The 18,276-nt window shown below is 41.2% G+C and overlaps 1 pseudogene across 2 annotated transcripts in view; it reads right to left on the bottom strand.

Moving 5' to 3' along the window:
* Nucleotides 201-18,276, bottom strand: part of ADGRF2P (adhesion G protein-coupled receptor F2, pseudogene) — a 41,323-nt pseudogene continuing 23,247 nt past the window's right edge. For both annotated transcript variants that reach the window (NR_184444.1, NR_184445.1), the window contains 6 exons: nt 17,691-17,924; nt 15,369-16,730; nt 10,962-11,003; nt 7,394-7,453; nt 4,247-4,323; nt 201-3,005 (listed from right to left, as the gene is read on the bottom strand). The product of NR_184444.1 is annotated as an adhesion G protein-coupled receptor F2, pseudogene, transcript variant 1 (transcript). The remainder of the gene's footprint in view (nt 3,006-4,246; nt 4,324-7,393; nt 7,454-10,961; nt 11,004-15,368; nt 16,731-17,690; nt 17,925-18,276) is intronic.

The raw sequence follows: 18,276 nt of genomic DNA, 5'->3' as shown, positions 1-18,276 counted from the left end.
TCTAAAGCAAACCCTCATTTAGATATTTCCAGGAGAAATGTGGACAATAAGGAGAGGTAAGTGAGGAGGCAGTTTTGTTATGGGTTTTATAGCAATGAAGGTCAAGGAGGTGCTGTTTATGGAAATGGGTCAGCTCCATTTAGGTCAGTAGTTAAGAAATGGCTCATTTGGGAAGTGGAAAAGCCAATATCAAGCCATTGTGTAATCAAAGGACTTTTTATTGCACATATTTACCGAACATACTCTATGTACAAGGCACCATGCTCTGCACTATGGGCATACAAAAGTGAGTAACACAGTGAGTAACAAAAGTGAATACCCCATTCCCCAAAACATATACATATGCACACAAAAAGACCAAAAGGAAATAAACAATATAACACAAAAGTGAAGGACATAGATTATAAAATTACAGGAAATCAGGTGGGGAGAATCAGCGCTTCTGGTTGGACCAATCAGGGAAGAATTCTTGAAGAAGGCAGAAAGTGAGGGAGAGCTCAGGCACACGTGCAGTGAGCAGATCCCTGTGATGTGTACTCTTTCCTGGCCAGGTAACTGTGTATTATGACCACAGTAATGAATGAAAGGATTTTTCAATGGTAAGCTCAACAGATTTTGCTGGCTGATACCCCTAATGTTGAACAGACCAAATCAAATGCTTAACTCTTTAATTTGGAAGTCAGTGAACTAGTTCCCATGAGGGTGTCTTCAGCCAAACTTATGCATGGGGTCATGGCTGTGTGTTTGCTTGTGTTTGCATGTGGGTGGGTGGGTTCATGTATTCACAGGACTCTAATTTAAAAAAAACAACTAAAACTAACATGTGAATTTGAATGAGCAATTATTATGAGCCAAGTACTATACTACTTTACCTACATTTATCCACTTAAAGTCTCAGGGATTTAAATGGCTTTCCCAAGAATCATTATGTATTAAGTCTGATACTTAAAAATCTGCCTTGGATACTATCAGTACCAATTTCTCCTAGAGTCACCTGACCAAATCACTTTCTTGGTGCGGTGTCAGCAGGAAACTGAATGTGTCTCTACCCAGGGTCATCCAGAGTCAACCTAATCCATGCAGTTCCTTGACATTTTTCAAGATGGTGTAGAGTGGGCTTTGGGATGCAGGAGAGAGGGCATAGCTTCTTCCAGGAATTCCCAAATAATTCCAGAGTTTTTCTCTAAGCATCCTTGGGGTTTCTTGGTTAATGATGAAGCTAAGGTGGGGTTTCTTTCCAACCATCCTGTCTCAGGGAGTGAGTATAGCTGAGTAGTGAGTACTTCCATAATAGATGTGACTGCTCAAGACACAAAGCAAATGCTAGGCCAATCCCTCCCTCTCTCCCTAGTGCTCAGAGCTGTTATCTGTGAAATGAAGCAATTGGAGTTCATCTTTTATAAAATTTGTCCAGAGTTACCATCCTATAACTATATTTGCTTCATGAAATTCCATTTTCACTTCAATATATGGACTCTGGGTAAGTGACATCTCTTTGTACCTAAGCCTGCATTGAGGAAAACCAGGACTATGTCTATCTCACCCCTTCTCTTGAAAAGAACATACAAATCTATTGGTAAATGGTAAATTAAAACCACTCTCTGACTTTATTTGTGAAGGATGCTTTTGTTGTCCCAAGATAAGCAATGCCATTTGAAAAATGACTATTTCTCCAGGTTGATGCATTTTTTTTAACTTCAGATTGATGCTTTTTGTCTGCTCAAACTTTCCTACTTATAGGAAGATTATTTGTAATAAGAAACAAAGAAAGAAAGAAAGAGAGAGAGGGAGAAAAAAAGAAAGAAAGAGAAAGGGAGAAAGAGAGAGAGAGAGGGAGGGAGGGAGGGAAGAAGGAAGGAAGGAAGGAAGGAAGGAAGGAAGGAAGGAAGGAAGGAAGGAAGGAAGGAAGGAAGGAAGGAAGGAAGGGACTGCACTCATACCTAAGGTGAGCCCCACTTTCTCCTTTGTAATGAAACGTCATCAATACTGACTTCTTGTTGGGATAATTAAAGGCTGCCCATTGCCCCTTTGCCTTCATCCACTAGTTAGATGCTGCTGCAGTCATCTATGTCCTTGCTTTGTAAAGAGGTTTTTTTTTTTTCCTCAAAGAGCTTCTACCTACAATACTGTTCTATCAGGTAACACCTGGTTTGAATGTTGAATTTGTTTACATACAGGTTAAGAAAAAGAGCAGCTCTGAATTGGAAATGTGATATTTCCTCTCTCCAATCCCAGGTATCAAAAAAGCATATTGTTGGTGAGGATTGACCTTACATTGTCAGTGTAGGCAGAAGATCTTTCAGTGTCTATATGGTCTTGAAGAGGAAGTACAGGGCTGGGAGCCAGCACACTTGGGTTTCTACCTCTGGCTCAGTCCTCGATTAGCATTGACTCACAACTCCAGACTTCCATCTCCTTAACTGAAAATGGTCATCTTTCTGTCTCAAAAGCTCTATGCTTTTCCCCTTGGTTCATGGCCAAGGAAGTTGTATCTAAGCCTAAACCAAGTTGACAATCCAATCTATTTAAATTTGAAAAAGTGGATATACTGGCAGTGGATTCCTTTTGAAAAAAAAAAATAATCTGCAATGTCCTACTTAGAGTCAGCCCAACTCTTTGTGACTATTCATGAGGCTCCTCCCTCAGCAACACACAGAATCCAGCCAGGTGAAATCTCAGGCCGCCTTTTCCAAGATGAGACAGAGGTTGCTTTCTGAAGACAAATGTGACCCAACAGCATAGAGATGGAAGCCCCAACAAAAACCACGGTTGTGGCCCCCTTTGTCTTTTTGTTTGCTGTGGCTGCCCAGCATGACATATGTAGCTATGTACAGTTGATGGACGAGAAATGTTTAGTAGCACAGAACAGCTTAGACAGAGGAGCCTTTCATCCTTTCTGCACATCACGCCCTCCTCCATCAGCACCACATGTGTGAGCTTCCTACATATTCTCCAGAAGCAAGAAGACAGGAATGAGCACATTTCTCCTTTGGGCTCTGCCATTCCTGAAATATACAACCCTGTCAAGAACAGAAGATCACAGCTTTAATGTACAGGTAGCAAGATTCATAGGCTTTACAACATCTGCATTATAAGCTCACTGTCTTGAACAATGAGCCCATTTGGGTACATCCCTTATGGCCGATGGAGAGTCTCCTCCCTTTAAGCCACTTTGGAATCCAGAGAACAGTCTTTTCTGTTGCCAACAAATGCTGAATTACACACCTTGTCTTTCTCTAAGCTGGGCCACCTCCTTTTCAGTGTAACACTTCTTGGAAAAGACCCACTTTTTATACAAGGCCCTGGACTGCTACAGAAAGCCACAAAGGCTGCTGGAGCCTGGATGTGTTGGGATGAGGGGTGGGAGGCCCTCTCTACATAGCTGAGTGCATCTATCTCTGTTTCTGTCTCTGTCATGCTGTATGTGTCTCTGTGAGTCCATCTCTCTGGGTTTTTTTTTTTTCTGCATTTCTCTCGATCTCCCAATGCATCTCTTATCCTCTCCGTGCATCTCTCTGTCTCTGTCTCCCTATGAATGTGGGTATCTCGATGTGGGTTCCTCTGTCTTCCTCTCTTTTCTGTCTCTAGATCCAGAGGGACATCGAGACACAGGATTGGAAGACTTGTGTCTGCACATGTCCTTGTGTCTAGGTGGCTCTCTTCTAGTCGTGAGCCACCATGTCCCTCTGTCTTTGTGTATCTGAATTTCTGTTTCTCCCTGTGGCTCCTTTCTCCACTTCTATTTTTCTATATATCTTTGTCTATCTCTGAGATCTCAAATGTAAATAAACGTCTCCATCATCCCTGAGGCCTCTCACAGCTATTATTTATCATAATACCTTGATCTTTTCAGGCTAGGGAAAAGAAAGGGGCCACAATGGGAAATCTGGGGATACTGCTGATATCATATAGGATGTCCTGGGATAGAGAACTAGAGAGAAGATTGAAGAGAGGGAGCAGCTAAGTAAAGCAGGCAGCTCTCCTCACTCCCATCTAAAAATCACCCAGGCTAATTTAAAAGCATTTTCAGACACGCCTGCTTAATTTTCAGGGACAAAAAAAATTTCAGTAGCTTAAGAATTTGAAGTGTGAATATATTTCCAACCATAGCTAGGTGAGAATAGACTGTATAGTAGAATCCTTTTAATGAAGAAAAAATCATTTCTAATTATAATTAATCAAATTGCAATTTTAAAAGAAATGTCACATATATGACATATATGGGAACCCCTTGCTTTGCACTCACCTCCTAGGTTAGGGATGTAGCCTGGTTTGTTAACTTGGGCCTTTGATGGGATGACAAGATAATTCAGAAGAAGCATTCTGTTGAAGACAAAGTAAAATTGCATTTATTAAATATCATTATTAGTCTGTTTTCAATTATCACAATTATTCAAAGCATCTAGGGAATTGTGATCCACAGCAATTTCTTTTATTCCTTCACTTTATTCCTCTCCTCTCCTTCTGTTGTTTTTTTTTTCCTTGAGACAGAGTCTCACTCTGTCGTCTAGGCTGGAGTGCAGTGGCGCAATCTCGGATCACTGCAACCTCTGCCTCCCAGGTTCAAGCGTTTCTCCTGCCTCAGCCTCCCGACTAGCTGAGACTACAGGCATCCACCACCACACCCAGCCTCGTGATCTGCCCACCTCGGCCTCCCAAAGTGCTGGGATTACAGGCATGAGCCACTGTGCCCGGCTCCCTTCTCTCCTTTTTTATATTGGAACTGCTGACAACATAGGAACTGACTGCTGTGAGAGATCCTCCTCCTCCTTGGCCTGGCCTGGCTCTGCCTACTGAAGGAGACCCTAATTTGGGAGGGTGTTGGACAGTGGAGAAGACATTGAGTGGCATGGAGAGAGAGAGACAGCAAAATGGCTCCAAGATCTCAAATAACTCTTTCTCAGCTGGTCTGCTGAAATCCTCAGCGTTAAAGCCAAGCCCTTGTAATGCACCTGTGTCCAGAGGATGTCCTCGTTTTTTAGAAATGTGTTGCCTAAGATAGGTAATACATTAACTCACTGGTAGAATTACTACCACATAAACATAGGCTAATTCATCACTTCAGATATAAAATGAACACAGACAAGCAAATTTATTATGCTGGGTTTGGGAAGCAGGACTGATACTACCCAAGCAGGTGCCATGAGGAGGGGAGTTGAATCTGGACTACAGAAGATTGCTACCTAGGGATTAGAGGCCTACAAAGCAGAAGAGAAGAGCACAGATGAAACACCTACTTCTGTCCTCTGAGCAGGGTTGATAAAACTAATTGCAGGCAGTGACCTAAAGTTAGTGAGCAAGAAATGAAGGGAGAAGTGCAAGAAATTAGGATAAATTTACCTAGTACCTAGGCCAGTGATTGTTAACCCAGATAGCACGTTAGAATCACTGTGGAGCTTTAAAGAATGCTTAGGCCCTACCTCCAAGAGTTTCTAATTTAATTTTTCTTGAGTACGGCCTGGAAAGTGTGTGTGTGTGTTTTTTTAGACGGAATCTCCCTCTGTCACCCAGGCTGGAGTGCAGTGGTGCGATCTCGGGCTCACTGCAACTCCTCCACCTCCCAAGTTCAAGTGATTCTCCTGCCTCAGCCTCCCGAGTAGCTGGGACTACAGGCATGTACCACCACACCTGGCTAATTTTTGTATTTTTAGTAGAGATGGGGTTTCACCATGTTAGCCAGGATGGTCTCAAACTCCTGACCTCAGGCAATCTGCACACCTCAGCCTCCCAAAGTGCTGGGATTATAGGCGTGAGCCACCATGCCCTGAAGTGGTATATTTTTAAAGCTTCTTAGGTGTTTCTAAGGTACAGCCAACAACACCACTGAATCAGACAATCGACAACTACTCATAAAATGCTGGATATTATTTTGACTTATCAGTCACATAAAACCACAAAGAGAAGTGGAAGAAATGACTAGGATTTTATGACACTGAAAAGCAGAATTTCTCTATGATGACCTGAATGGATCAATTCTGAAACACGTAAGGAAAGGAGCAAAGCTAAATTGGAAGGGATTGAGAGAGTCAGGACTCTCTCCTGAGAGCACCACGGCAGACCAAAGTGAAAGAGGAGAGTACTTACATCAGGGATGCTTGTTGGAGACAAATATTTTCAATGCCAGAACACTTCAGGGAGTCTTTAGATGAATGACCCTCAACCTTGAATGTACATTAGAATCACCCGGGGAGCTTTCAAAACCCCCAAATCCAAGCCACACTCCAGACCAATCAAATGAGAATCTCCAGGGGTGTGACCGAGGCAACCCCATTTTTTGAAGCTTCCCAGTTTATTTTAATGTGTAGCCCAAGTTGAGAACCATTGCTTTAGACATTTATTAATGTCATTTGCATTAAACTTTGGGTCTTTTTTTTTTTAAAGCTGAAAAGGGTACAGAGAAACCAGCAGACTCCCAAGTATGGAGACCAAAGACTAAAAACAAGACCAAAGGTTAGGTAAGAGTAAGGCAAAAGGGAACAGGAAAAGAGAGGGAAGAAAGAGAAGAGAAGAGGAGGGCTGAAGAAATCAACAGAGAGAGAATGGGAAGGCAAAGAACGAGGATGGGGCAACACTGCTCTCAGGGCCACAGGGTGCCCAGCCCCATCAATTAGCCTCTCTCCATGCAGATCCCCTGAAGCCCCAGTCCATGACAGGAGATGTGGACCCTAGCAGACACTGGCATGGGAGGCTCTAGATCACCTCCTTGCTTGTTTTGGGTGTATTCCTTGGGCCAACCCTGAATCTCCTTTTGCTGCCATTTAAAAGTTTTTTAAAAAATTGAGCGGCAGTTTTTCCCTCCCTCAAAACAGTTCATGGCCCTCATTCTTTGCATAACAAAACAATGTTTCTAAGTCACAGGAATAGAAGATAAGTTAACGACCCTGTTATAGTCCAGCCTGCTGTCCAATGACTGAATCTTCTCTACAGCAACCCTGTGCAGGCCCCAAGCCCACTTAAGCCACTTCAGTACCATGGCAGCTGGCCCCTCTTGAGCAGTTCTTTGTGTAGGATCAGAATTTGTTTCCCTGGAGTTTTTACACTTTGGATGTGGGCCAACTGATTGGAGTCATAGAGAACAAGTGAGATGTCATGGGAACCTAAGACTTCTCTCATTTCTTTCATCACCTGCTCTCCTACTATGTGGTTTGAGATTCACCCTCCAACGCCAGCCACCTTGTCACTCTCCTCTAAATTCATGTAACTCCACTTGCATCTCTTTGCATCCCCATATTCCAGAAAGAATCTCAACTGTTTAAGAGGCACCCATCACTTCTGGGAAATCCACACTGCAAAGTGTTAAGGTGAGAGTGTTAGCAACACTCCATATGCCAGAAACTCCAAGATTGTTATCTTGTTAAACTTTTAAATACAAAAATGAATATGAAAGCTTTACCTCTGATATTCTGGAGCTCCTTTTTGCAGAGGCTACTCAACCCTTTAAGGCTTCTCTTATCTGGATATTTAACAAAAGAAGTTAAGAATTAGAAGATCATAAGAAGATAACACGTATGCTTGGGCCTGGCAGATATTGTGGCCAGGTACTGTGTTAGCAGCTAGGTTCTGTTGGAGGGATATGGTGGCATCAGTGACCTCTGGTGGAGTAGTCTTGGAAAAGGTGGAAAGATGGGAAGAGAAAAGAGAGGTGGAGATGGCATAGGATACTCACTTTCAGGGCCTTAAATATGGACCCAATGCCTGAGAAATGCAGTTTGCCACAAGTTTGAGAATTCCTCGACATAGCTTCTATTTTTTTTTTCTTGAGATTCAGTCTCACTCTGTTATCCAGGCTGCAGTGCAGTGGGGCCATCTCGGCTCACTGCAACCTCCGCCTCCCGGGTTCAAGCAATTCTCCTGCCTTAGCCTCCCGAGTAGCTGGGATTACAGGCGTGTGCCACCATGCTTGGCTAATATTTTTGTATTTTTAGTAGAGACAGGGTTTCACCATGTTAGCCAAGATGGTCTTAATCTCCTGACCTCATGATCTGCCTGCCTCGGCCTCCTAAAGTGCTGGGATTACAGGCATGAGCCACCGCACCTGCCCTAGCTTTGGCATTATTTTTATGGAGCACTTCCGTAATCACTTCTCACAATTTGTCAATTATTCAAATCACCTTTTCTAGAGGAAAAAAAGTACTATACAACTGGACATGGTGGCTCATGCCTGTATGTAATCCCAGCACTTTGGGAGGCCAAGGCGAGTGGATCACTTGAGGTCAGGAGTTCGGGAACAGGCTGGTAAACATAGTGAAACCCCCTCTCTACTAAAAATACAAAAATTAGCCGGGCGTGGTGTTGGGCACCTGTAACCCCAGCTACTCGAGAGGCTGAGGCAGGAGAATCGCTTGAACCCAGGAGGCAGAAGTTGCAGTGAGCTGAGATCACGCCAGTGCACTCCAGCCTTGGCGACAGAATGACACCCCGTCTCAAAGAAAAAAGTACTATACAACATAGCAACAGTCCATGAAATTCTTCTTCCCTAACTAGGTCATCCTGTCCTTTTCTCTAAGTCTTGCCTGCTGAATACAGGCCCTCTTCTTATTTCTGCTATACAAAATATTATTCACCTTCCAAGGCCTTATAGAAGTTCTGTGTTCACAATTCATATATGCCAAAGTCCTCCAGCTCAGGGTGGCTTCCCCCTTCCCTGCAGATGCCGTATTCTTTGTCACACACAGACCTCAAACCACCCCTCAGGGTTGGAGGACGGTGTGCTCAAGGGCCCATTGGGATCCGTGAAGATACATTGGCACTTCTACTTACATTTCTTTGTTCTCACCCTTTTTTACTCTTAGGTTTCATAATGTATGTAACACTTTTTAGGTTAATAATGAACACATCTGGGGATATGTACTCACTGTGTTTTACTAATCCTAAAAGTTTGAAGACTACTGGTATATACAACTTTTGGTCAATGAATCATGTATGGTCCTGTGACACTTTGGAGTATTTACCTTTCATATCACAATTGCAAAGGTAAGAGGTTTTCATCTTGATAGAAGGTTCCATGACTTGGAGTTCTTTGCACATCTCACCTAACACTGGTAAACTAAGTAAAAATGTGGCTGCTGGTACTGTGGCTACAGATACTAGTTGTGTTATTATAAATAATAGAAACATAATCCTGTGGCATATGATTGGGCGATACCTTAAGTGCTTTGCGTTTTTACCTACAAAATTGCATTTGTTCTTTGTCATAATCTAATGGAGAAGGCAGAGAAAGCATTACTATCTCTACATCCCAACTGGCTCTGTTGCCAGGCTGGAGTGCAGTGGTGCAATCTTGGCTCACTGCAACCTCTGCCTCCCGGGTTCAAGCAATTTCCCTGCCTCAGTCTCCTGAGTAGCTGGGACTACACGCTCATGCCACCACGCCCAGTTACGTTTTTGTATTTTTTAGTAGAGACGGGGTTTCGCCACATTGGCCAGGATGGTCTCCATCTCCTGACCTTTTAACAAACCTTTGATATTAATATAATAGAATATTACTGGCAGTAGGCTGGACACAGTAGCTCATTCCTGTAATCCCAGCACTTTGGGAGGCCAAGATGGGTGTATCCCTTGAGCTCAGGAGTTCGAGACCAACCTGGGCAACGTAGGGAGACCCCATCTCTACAAAAACGTTTAAAAATTAGCTGGGTGTGGTGGCATGTGTCTGTAGTTCCAGCTACTCAGGAGGCTGTGGCGGGAGGATCACCTGAGCCCAAGAGGTCAAGGCTGCAGTGAGCCGTGATGATGCCACTGCACTCCAGCCAGAGCAACAGAGTGAAACCTTGTCTCAAAAAAAAAAAAAATTAACATGTCCTTTTCTCTAAGTCTTGCCAGCTGAATACAGGTGCTCTTCTTATTTAGTAAAAAATAAATAAATAAATAAAAAATAAATAGTAAAACATAAATAAATAAATAAACAAACAAACTCTGCAGTGAAGGTGGGGTGTTTGGGGGAGGGAGTGGATTATGTTTTTGTTTGTTTGGGGTTTTTTGTTTGGTTTTTTGCTTTGTTTTGTAAATCCAACCTGGTAGTGTTCCTTTTCATTTTTATTTATTTATTTACTTTAATTGACAGAAGGGGTTTGCTTTTGCTTTTATATCTGAGAGGATTGTTTGCTTTTCTTTTTCCAGAAGGTAGTACGGTACAATGGAAAGAGGGTGATCTTAGAAGCCTGAATAAACATTTGAGGGTTTGTTCATTTGCTTGGTTTTTGTCTTCAATGCTTATCACTTATCAAGACTCATCTGTATTTGAAGAGTTTCTTTTCTTGACTCCACTGCTATTCAAGATAGAAGTAGGAACTCACACTTCCACCCAACCTTGCAGCTAAGATATGACTCCATGACCTGAACTCAGCCAATCAGACATGACAGTGCATAAATGCAGATGCTGGTGTACCAGTCAGGCAGGTTGAGGTGATCTCCCAGGCAGCAGTAGCAGCAGCTCTGGCTTAAGTGTTTACTGCCCGACATTGGCCTGGCGAGCTGTGCTATCTGTGCCCAGCAAAGTGGGGAAGAGCAATGGTATCTCTTGTGGAGCATTTCTGTGCTGTGCATTGGTAAGTATTCCTGGAGTACAGCCTCCAAAACTCCAAGTCAAAGAGACCCTCCCAAAGATAATATTGTGAGATTTAATAAGTTCCTTTTCTGCTTCAACTAATCAGAGTGGGTTTCTGTAGTGATCTTGAGCAAGCTGTTCACTCTGAGTCTCAGTTTCCTCATCTGTAAAATTGAAAATAGTAATACCTACAATTGTTTTAAGAATCAGCCCTAATGTACATAAAACATTTATTCCCATAAGAGCTTGCAAACTGGTCAATATCATTTGCATTGTAAACAGCAGTGATCCAGACTTCATACATCTGTACAAATGACTGAAGTGAAAGCTTTTCAATAAATAGCCTTTACAAGTCTTTACATGGCCAGGTACTGATAATACAGAAAAAGCAACAAGAAGAATTTACATTCAGTACCTTTGGATCCAGGATGGTTCCAAACACTAGGATGAAGAAACCCTGGGAAACACAGAAGAGGGAAGAAGAGCCATTTACAAAAGAATCATGATGTTAAAACATACTCTTAGTTATTACCAATTCCTATTTCAATAAAATGAAAACAATTTTATGAAATCTCTTAATTTGTCATCCTTAGCTCACAACACCTAGATTCATTCAATGAATATTGATGAGTGTCTTCCATATGGCAGCCACTGTAGAGGTACCTCAGTAAACCAAAGAGACCAAGGTCCCTACATCATACAGGAATATTTTTTAAATTTCCTTTTACGTTGGACAAATTAAAAGTGTTTGCACTTAGCAGGAGGTGGGCCTCTCAACTGAATATAATGATCCAAGAAAGAGTCAGAAGAGGTGTTGGGCAATGAACTGCAGGCTTGCTGTCCCTGAACAATAAGTAAGAGAAGCTTCCACAGAAAACAGCAGAAACAGCTGTTGCTCAGCTTCCCATAACACCTTCAGCCTCCTTCTCTCATCCACTACAAAGAATATTATAAAACTTCTAGAGAAAAGTCAAGTGTTTACATTCTCAAAAAATTAATGACATTAAATAGGTTGAGTTTCTAAGCACATGACAAATATTCCCAATATGATGATATAGAAGGAATTAATTAGCTTTTATATCTTTTATTTTCCATACCAAAAAAACCCCATATAAAACCCAAAACAGGCTGTTCCTCTACAGCTATAGTCCATTTGAAGTTTTTACTTCTTTTTCACATACACTGGCACAAAACCCCCCTTGACGAAGGAAGGGCAAGTTGTAGTTCCATTTTTCAGTTAAGGAAAAGGAATTTCCTTTTTGGCATTCAAAATGTGATAGACAGGAACATTCATTAGACAAAAATTTCTCCTAAATTTGCAGTTACTCCGTCCATGGTGCATCTGAAAAGGGAGGTGAGATCATGACCTTTTATTTAGGAATAGCCTTGCTAAGCTGCTCTGACTTCATAAGTGAGTGTGAACTCTTACCTACCCAGAGGCCTGTTGAGGTGCATGGGTTGTATACAGCTGGCACCATAAAGATGTTACAACCTGGTATTCATCGCTGAGAACAATACCAAACCTACCGCTATTTGGTAAAAGCCCAGATGAGAGGTGGAGGACCTTACAGGGACCAGTGTACATCCTTGCAGCTAATCCAGCCCCCCAAACACACTAACATACACCTTTCTCTTCAGCCAGTCCAACTCTCAAAAGCTTAATCTCCATATGGCTTTTATGAGATTGTTCTGTGTAACATTCTGAGCCTACAAGGTAATTATTGAAATCTGTTATTGTATCTGCTACAAAAAAAATTATTGTTGGCATGGTCTATTAGGTTGCAAAGTTATCATTCTTATAAGGCCCCTTGGGACAAATATATTCCAGCCTGATTTTGGTACTAGGAATACATTTCAAGTCAGGATCTCTGTGAATTTGGCCCAGGAATTATATTTTTTAAAGATCTGGGAACAACAATTCTAGCATGTTTTTTCCACAAATATGCTGATGGCTAATATTCTTTGGCTAAAGAACTAAGAGGAATTTCTCTCCTTATAAGATTTTTAATTCCTTGGGGTTGGTCTATCTATATTTGTATCTGCAACATTAAGCATAATGCTTTGCACAAAATAAGTAATAAATGTAGTGTCTCTTCATTTGAGTGTATGTATGTGTTTAATTTCTTTATTATGCAACCTGCACTTTTATAGTTATGTAGCATGACTATAAACATGACTTTATAAACATGTAACAGGGAAATACTCCACTAGGATCACTTTTTGTCGGTCCATGCCACCTTAGAGAAAGTTATGTCAAATATCTTTCAGAAGATTTGGATAAAAAAATTGGCCATAAAGTTTAGTATCTGGTTGAGAAGGGAAGAGAGAATATACCTAACAAACAATTCACCAGTAGCAGCTTCTTTGCACTTCTTTTAGTAGGTAAAGCACAGTTTGGACAGGTAAATCTCAAGGTGTTCTCCCAGGTTTTGGTATATGTGCTTTATTTTTTTTCCCACAAAAACAGCTATGAGGGAGTCCCAAAAACTCACCCAGCCCACAATTATTCTCAGTAAATACAAGAGTAGGATGCCAACCAGAAGTTATGGATGAACAAGGCGGTTAATCGAGGCAGCAACTGACACCATAATAAAACCTCTATAGTAAAGGGGATGGTTGAGCTTTAAAACTAGTGCAGATATTCCCCTGGGGCTAGGACCAGGAAATCTTTACAGGAGTCTTCCTCCCACATCATCTGGGCTTCTCAATATGTTTCAGAATCGCTCCCCTCTGTCTGCTCCATCAGCCTCTGCTGCTGCCCCTCATCTCTTCTCATCCTAAGACTGCACTTCTCCTGCTTTTTCCACCCAGTTGGTTGAGTCTCCCATCTCAGTAGATCCATGGCTCCTCTCTCTCCTCCCTCAGTGGATGCTCTGATCCAGTGATATGCTAGTAAATGGCAATAAACTCTCCTCATTTGTAGTGTTTGCCAATCTCTATAGTTAATTACACCCACCATGGCCTATTTGAATCTTGCCCTGTGACATCGCTGAGCATGGATTTAGGAAGAGATGGGCAGTAGCACATCGTTGTACAGATTTTCCACCATGCAGACACAATAGAGGCAAGTAACCTCAAGAGAAAAGGTAGACAAATAATTAGGAAGTGATGAGTTCTGAGGATACATGACCTTTACTTTTAACCTAATTTGTTTAATTGCAAGTCTATATGATTTAATTGTTATTGATGACTGTCTTCACAACCAGCTCAGAACAATTGTGAAAATATAATTGGCAGCTCCCGTGAGCCAATACAGGCCAGCTCCAACACAGCACTGCCCAGTGCCCCCCACTGGGCCTCACTGACACTTTGTTCTCAGCTCCTCACTGCCCCATCTGTACTGGCGCTTAGATAGACCCCTCCCTGTTCCTTACTGGGATTCAAGGCAGAAACTAAATTGAAAGCACAAGTGATCCTATTATGACAGATAAAGGTGCTCATGATATCAAAATGCAAGTGCTCACAGCCTTGTCCAAAACAAAGCTCACAGATAAGATGGCCCTAAGGGAGACAAGAGAAGGAAAATGGTGTGGAATGAGTCATGAGCTCATGAGGGGTTTATGAAAAATAGGGGTTTTACCCAAGTCTTTTCAATGACTAGTTTTGTAAACATGCGTAAAGCAACTGATAAGTACCAAAAGCTATACAAATGTAGAATACAATTAATATTTTCTATAGAAGTGCAAAAAAAGTAGAGACTCAAAATATGAGATACCCCTATTATTATTAACATTGCTCTTCAAGACATCAAAGCATTTATTATAAAGTGAAATCATTTATACATAAATTCTGAAAAGGGAAAATGAGAAGATACTTGACTTAAGATATCTATTAGCAATTAGGTAAAGCATTTACTTGAAAATAGTCCTACTGGCTACCGCACACATTCAGAAAAAAAGACAGTGTTTTAGATATCTTTAGAAAAATAAAAGCTTTCTTTTCAATTAGTTACTATCTACATATTAACATTCAATATAATAAACTTTGGATCATTCACATACTATAACACAAAACAATGGAGAAAAATTTCAATCAAGAAGGAAATTATTGAATATGGAATGGTATGCAGCCATTAGAGAAATATTCATGCATAATGAGCTGGTAAAATTCTAGAGCATATTTTTAAGTGCAAAAGCAAGTTACACAATAATATACATTGTTTTAACCCGTGTTATGTGAAAATATGTTTGTATAAGCATAGAAAATTTGGCAAAGCATACACATGAAACTGTGAACGTTGCTTAATTCATCTAAGTGTGATAAGAGAAGAGAGGAGAAACTATCTTCAATACCTCTCTGTAGAGCTTGCCATGTTAAAATAAGATGGTTTCCAATGGTAGTTAAAAATCCTAAGTGGAAGGAAATGTAATAAATGTGCAAACTTTAATACCTCCAGCTACATACCTAAATTTTGGGGAAGGTGTTATTGCTTAATTTTTAAACCATAACAACTTAGCCTATTACTAGGCTGTCTATGGTCTTTAGATCATTTTAGTACTTGATCCTTTCCCATTCACCATTTAATTTCACTTTCCAAACACCCCTATAAAGTGAACAGTATTGCACTCATTTTATATGTGAGGAAAATATGGCTTGAAAAAAGTTGAGTAAATATCCCAAGATCATGTTATACATTATTAGTAAATGAAAGAGTCAGGATCCAAATCCAGGTATCTCTGGAACAAAAGTTTATTTCCCCACTCCATATGCTATTCCAAATCCATTGGCTTTTATGTAGAAATCTAATGTCACAAGCACCTAATCACAGAACATCTTCATGAATTCTCTCACTTTGCACTTGGTCAGAAGCATCTGGACTTACCTGGAATGCATTGAGCAGGGAGAAGATAATGTGGAAGGCCAGGGATCTGTCATCGATGACAGTGGCTACTCCAAATCCCCAGGTCAGTCCCAGAAGTGGTGTGAGGATGGCGATGTTCTTGCTGATTCTCACAATGGCTCTCACTTCCTGGAACATGGAATTGCCAATGGCAGCTCGCTGGGTCTTGACAATCACCAGTGTGACTGTGATCAGGTTTACTACCACGATGGCCAAAGCTGGGATCACGAAGGCCAGGAGGGCTTTGGTCATGTCCCAGTTGAGCCAGCAGATCTCAGGTCGTAGATAGCCTTTGCCAGGTTCAGTGGCAGCAACAGTGATGGCAGCAATGGCCAAAGGGCATCCATAGCCCACTGAAAACAGAGATGCCACCAGGACTGACTTGGGCAAGGTATGGAAAACAATCATGATTCCATAGAGGATAAGGAGTGCCTTGGCAAGCATCCAGAAAAATACAGAAAGGTAAAAGAAATGAACAAAAAATGTGGCTGCCACACATCCCTTGTGGTGTGTTATTGGGCCACTAAGAAAGGAAGCCACAATGAACCACACATCTGCCATCAGCAAAGTGGCTGCAATGTTAACAATGCACACATGGCGTAAATAGGTGATCTCTGTCTTTGTCACTTGGCTCCAGACTAGGACCTCAATGGACAAGCAAAGGATCAGGCTGCAAATAGAAATGCCCAGGCCTACATATGTGATGTAAGTCAGAATCAGACTCTCTAAGATGTGAGGTGACATAAGAATTGAGAAAGAGGTAAACAATTTGCTTGGCCTACATTTGCAAACAGCTTGCTGGGAGTTTTCTTGAATCATTTTGCAGGCCTGCTGGTCCCATCTGTTCTCCACAGAGTGCCAGCCAACACACTGTGTCCTCCTCTCCTCTGACTTGCTGATCTTTTCAAAAATCAGTGAGATTCTTTTAAGTTCCTTGGGCAAAATGGCAGACAGGACAAGCCCATTTACAGTAACATTTTCCAAAAGACTGGCTTCCAAAATAGCCCCAATAGTTGGAAATGCAATGCTGATGACCTGAGAAGGGGAAGGCACCTTCCGAAGTTCATCTCTGCTGATCAACACTCTCCCAGTGACTTCATTGCTGGTATCATTAATTCTCATAGAAAAAGTGAAATTTTTTCCAATGTTATCTCCAGATATGGTGGTGCCCATAGTATGAATGAAGACATCTGATATGTCAACAGGATGTTTATCTATGAATAGCCTTCTTGCAAAGGAGTTGACTGAATGTAGCAGGATATAGCTGCTGTTTCTGTCAGGAATGAAAGTCCAGTTGGAGATGCTTTTGCTGTTAAGAATGTGGTTGGCTATGGTGCTGTAACTCTGCCAATGAAGAACCAGTGTTAGTACTGAGCCACTCTCTGAAACTGCCAGCACATTCAACACTCACCTTTATAAAGCGTGCTTCTCCAATCAGCAACCTAGGCATACTCTGGGAACTTCTTAGCAATATAGAATCTCAGGCCCCACCCCAGACTTAATGAATCAGAATCTGCATCTTAATAAGATACTCAGGTGACTTGCATGTACACTGAAGTTTGACTTAGATGATAGAGCTACAAAGGAATTGCCTCACCATGCCCTTCTCCATTTATGCAATGGCCTCCTGCGAGCCAGGCCACTGGGCAGCTTTCCACATGCTCATGTCCATCATCCCCTCCATATCACACCTAGTCGAAACTAGCAACTTGCTTACCCTGCTCAGAGAACCTATCACGTGATTAACCTCTGTTGCATCCCAAATGTGTTGCAGGGCCCTATACAAGAACATAATAAATTGGAAATTCACCCTGGAGTCTGAATCTACTTTTTACTATCTTTGCTTTGAAGATTAAAACCAAGCAAAATGGACCCCGTTCTATTTCATGCTTCTGCAGTGGATAGGTATGGCTGTTTTCTTTGCCTTCAATTATTTTCCATTTTAGCAACCTATCCTGACTCACAAATGAAAATAAGAAGAGTCTTTCTCTCTCCAGAACATAGAATGTTTCTTAAATGTATTCAGTAGCCAAAAGATACATCGGTAACTCATACTCCAAAGTTCAATACAGTACCAAGTAAGTGCTCTCTATAAATATTTGTTGATTAAATGTTTACTTTTTCCATTCACTTATTCATCCTTTCTTTAATGAAGATTTACTGAACACTTGCTTTGCTAAACATTAGAAATACTGATGTGAAAGACATGGTTCCTAGTCCCTAAGAAGCTCACAGAATACTCCAACAAACCTGCATTCCTTTCCCACTGAGATAATGCTCTACCAACTATTCAGGGACACTCACCTGCATCTTTGCCTCATCAACACCTGTCCATATTGCTGTTGATATGTTGTGTAAGAGCTGCACAATTACGGCAATGTTTCCTGGTATCCAGGGAGACTGCTGAATGTTTCTAATTACACAAGACAGATCTGTGGGACACTTTTGTAGCAACATATCTGTTATGGTCTCAGACTTTCCAGTATATACACTTATTTTTATATTGTCTTCAAATGGCTGAACCAAACGTGAATCCTCCTACAATATAGAAAAAGAAAGAAATTTTTATATTTTATTTTTGTGTTAAATGTAAAAGTACCTTTACTAAAACTTAGGACAGCCTAACATAATGTTTTTCTATTTTACACTCTCAGAGTCACATCTGCTGTGAAATAACTTGACCAATACCAAGTTGTATGAACCAGCAAATAAAAGTCCCTCCTTCCCATCTACCTATTCCTTAACTCCCCTCTCTCCGAATAACAACTGTTATCTTCAGCATATCTCTTCAGATAACCTGTATATATAGAAATTTCTAGTGGCATTTAAGCTTATTTGTAATATTTATGAAGGGCAAATCATGAGCCATGAGTCTGTCTTAAAAATAGAA

This window comes from Homo sapiens, chromosome 6 (assembly GCF_000001405.40).
Source record: "Homo sapiens chromosome 6, GRCh38.p14 Primary Assembly".
NCBI lineage: Eukaryota > Metazoa > Chordata > Mammalia > Primates > Hominidae > Homo > Homo sapiens.
Note: the sequence above shows the minus strand (reverse complement) of the source record. Positions and strands in the feature narration are given on the sequence as shown.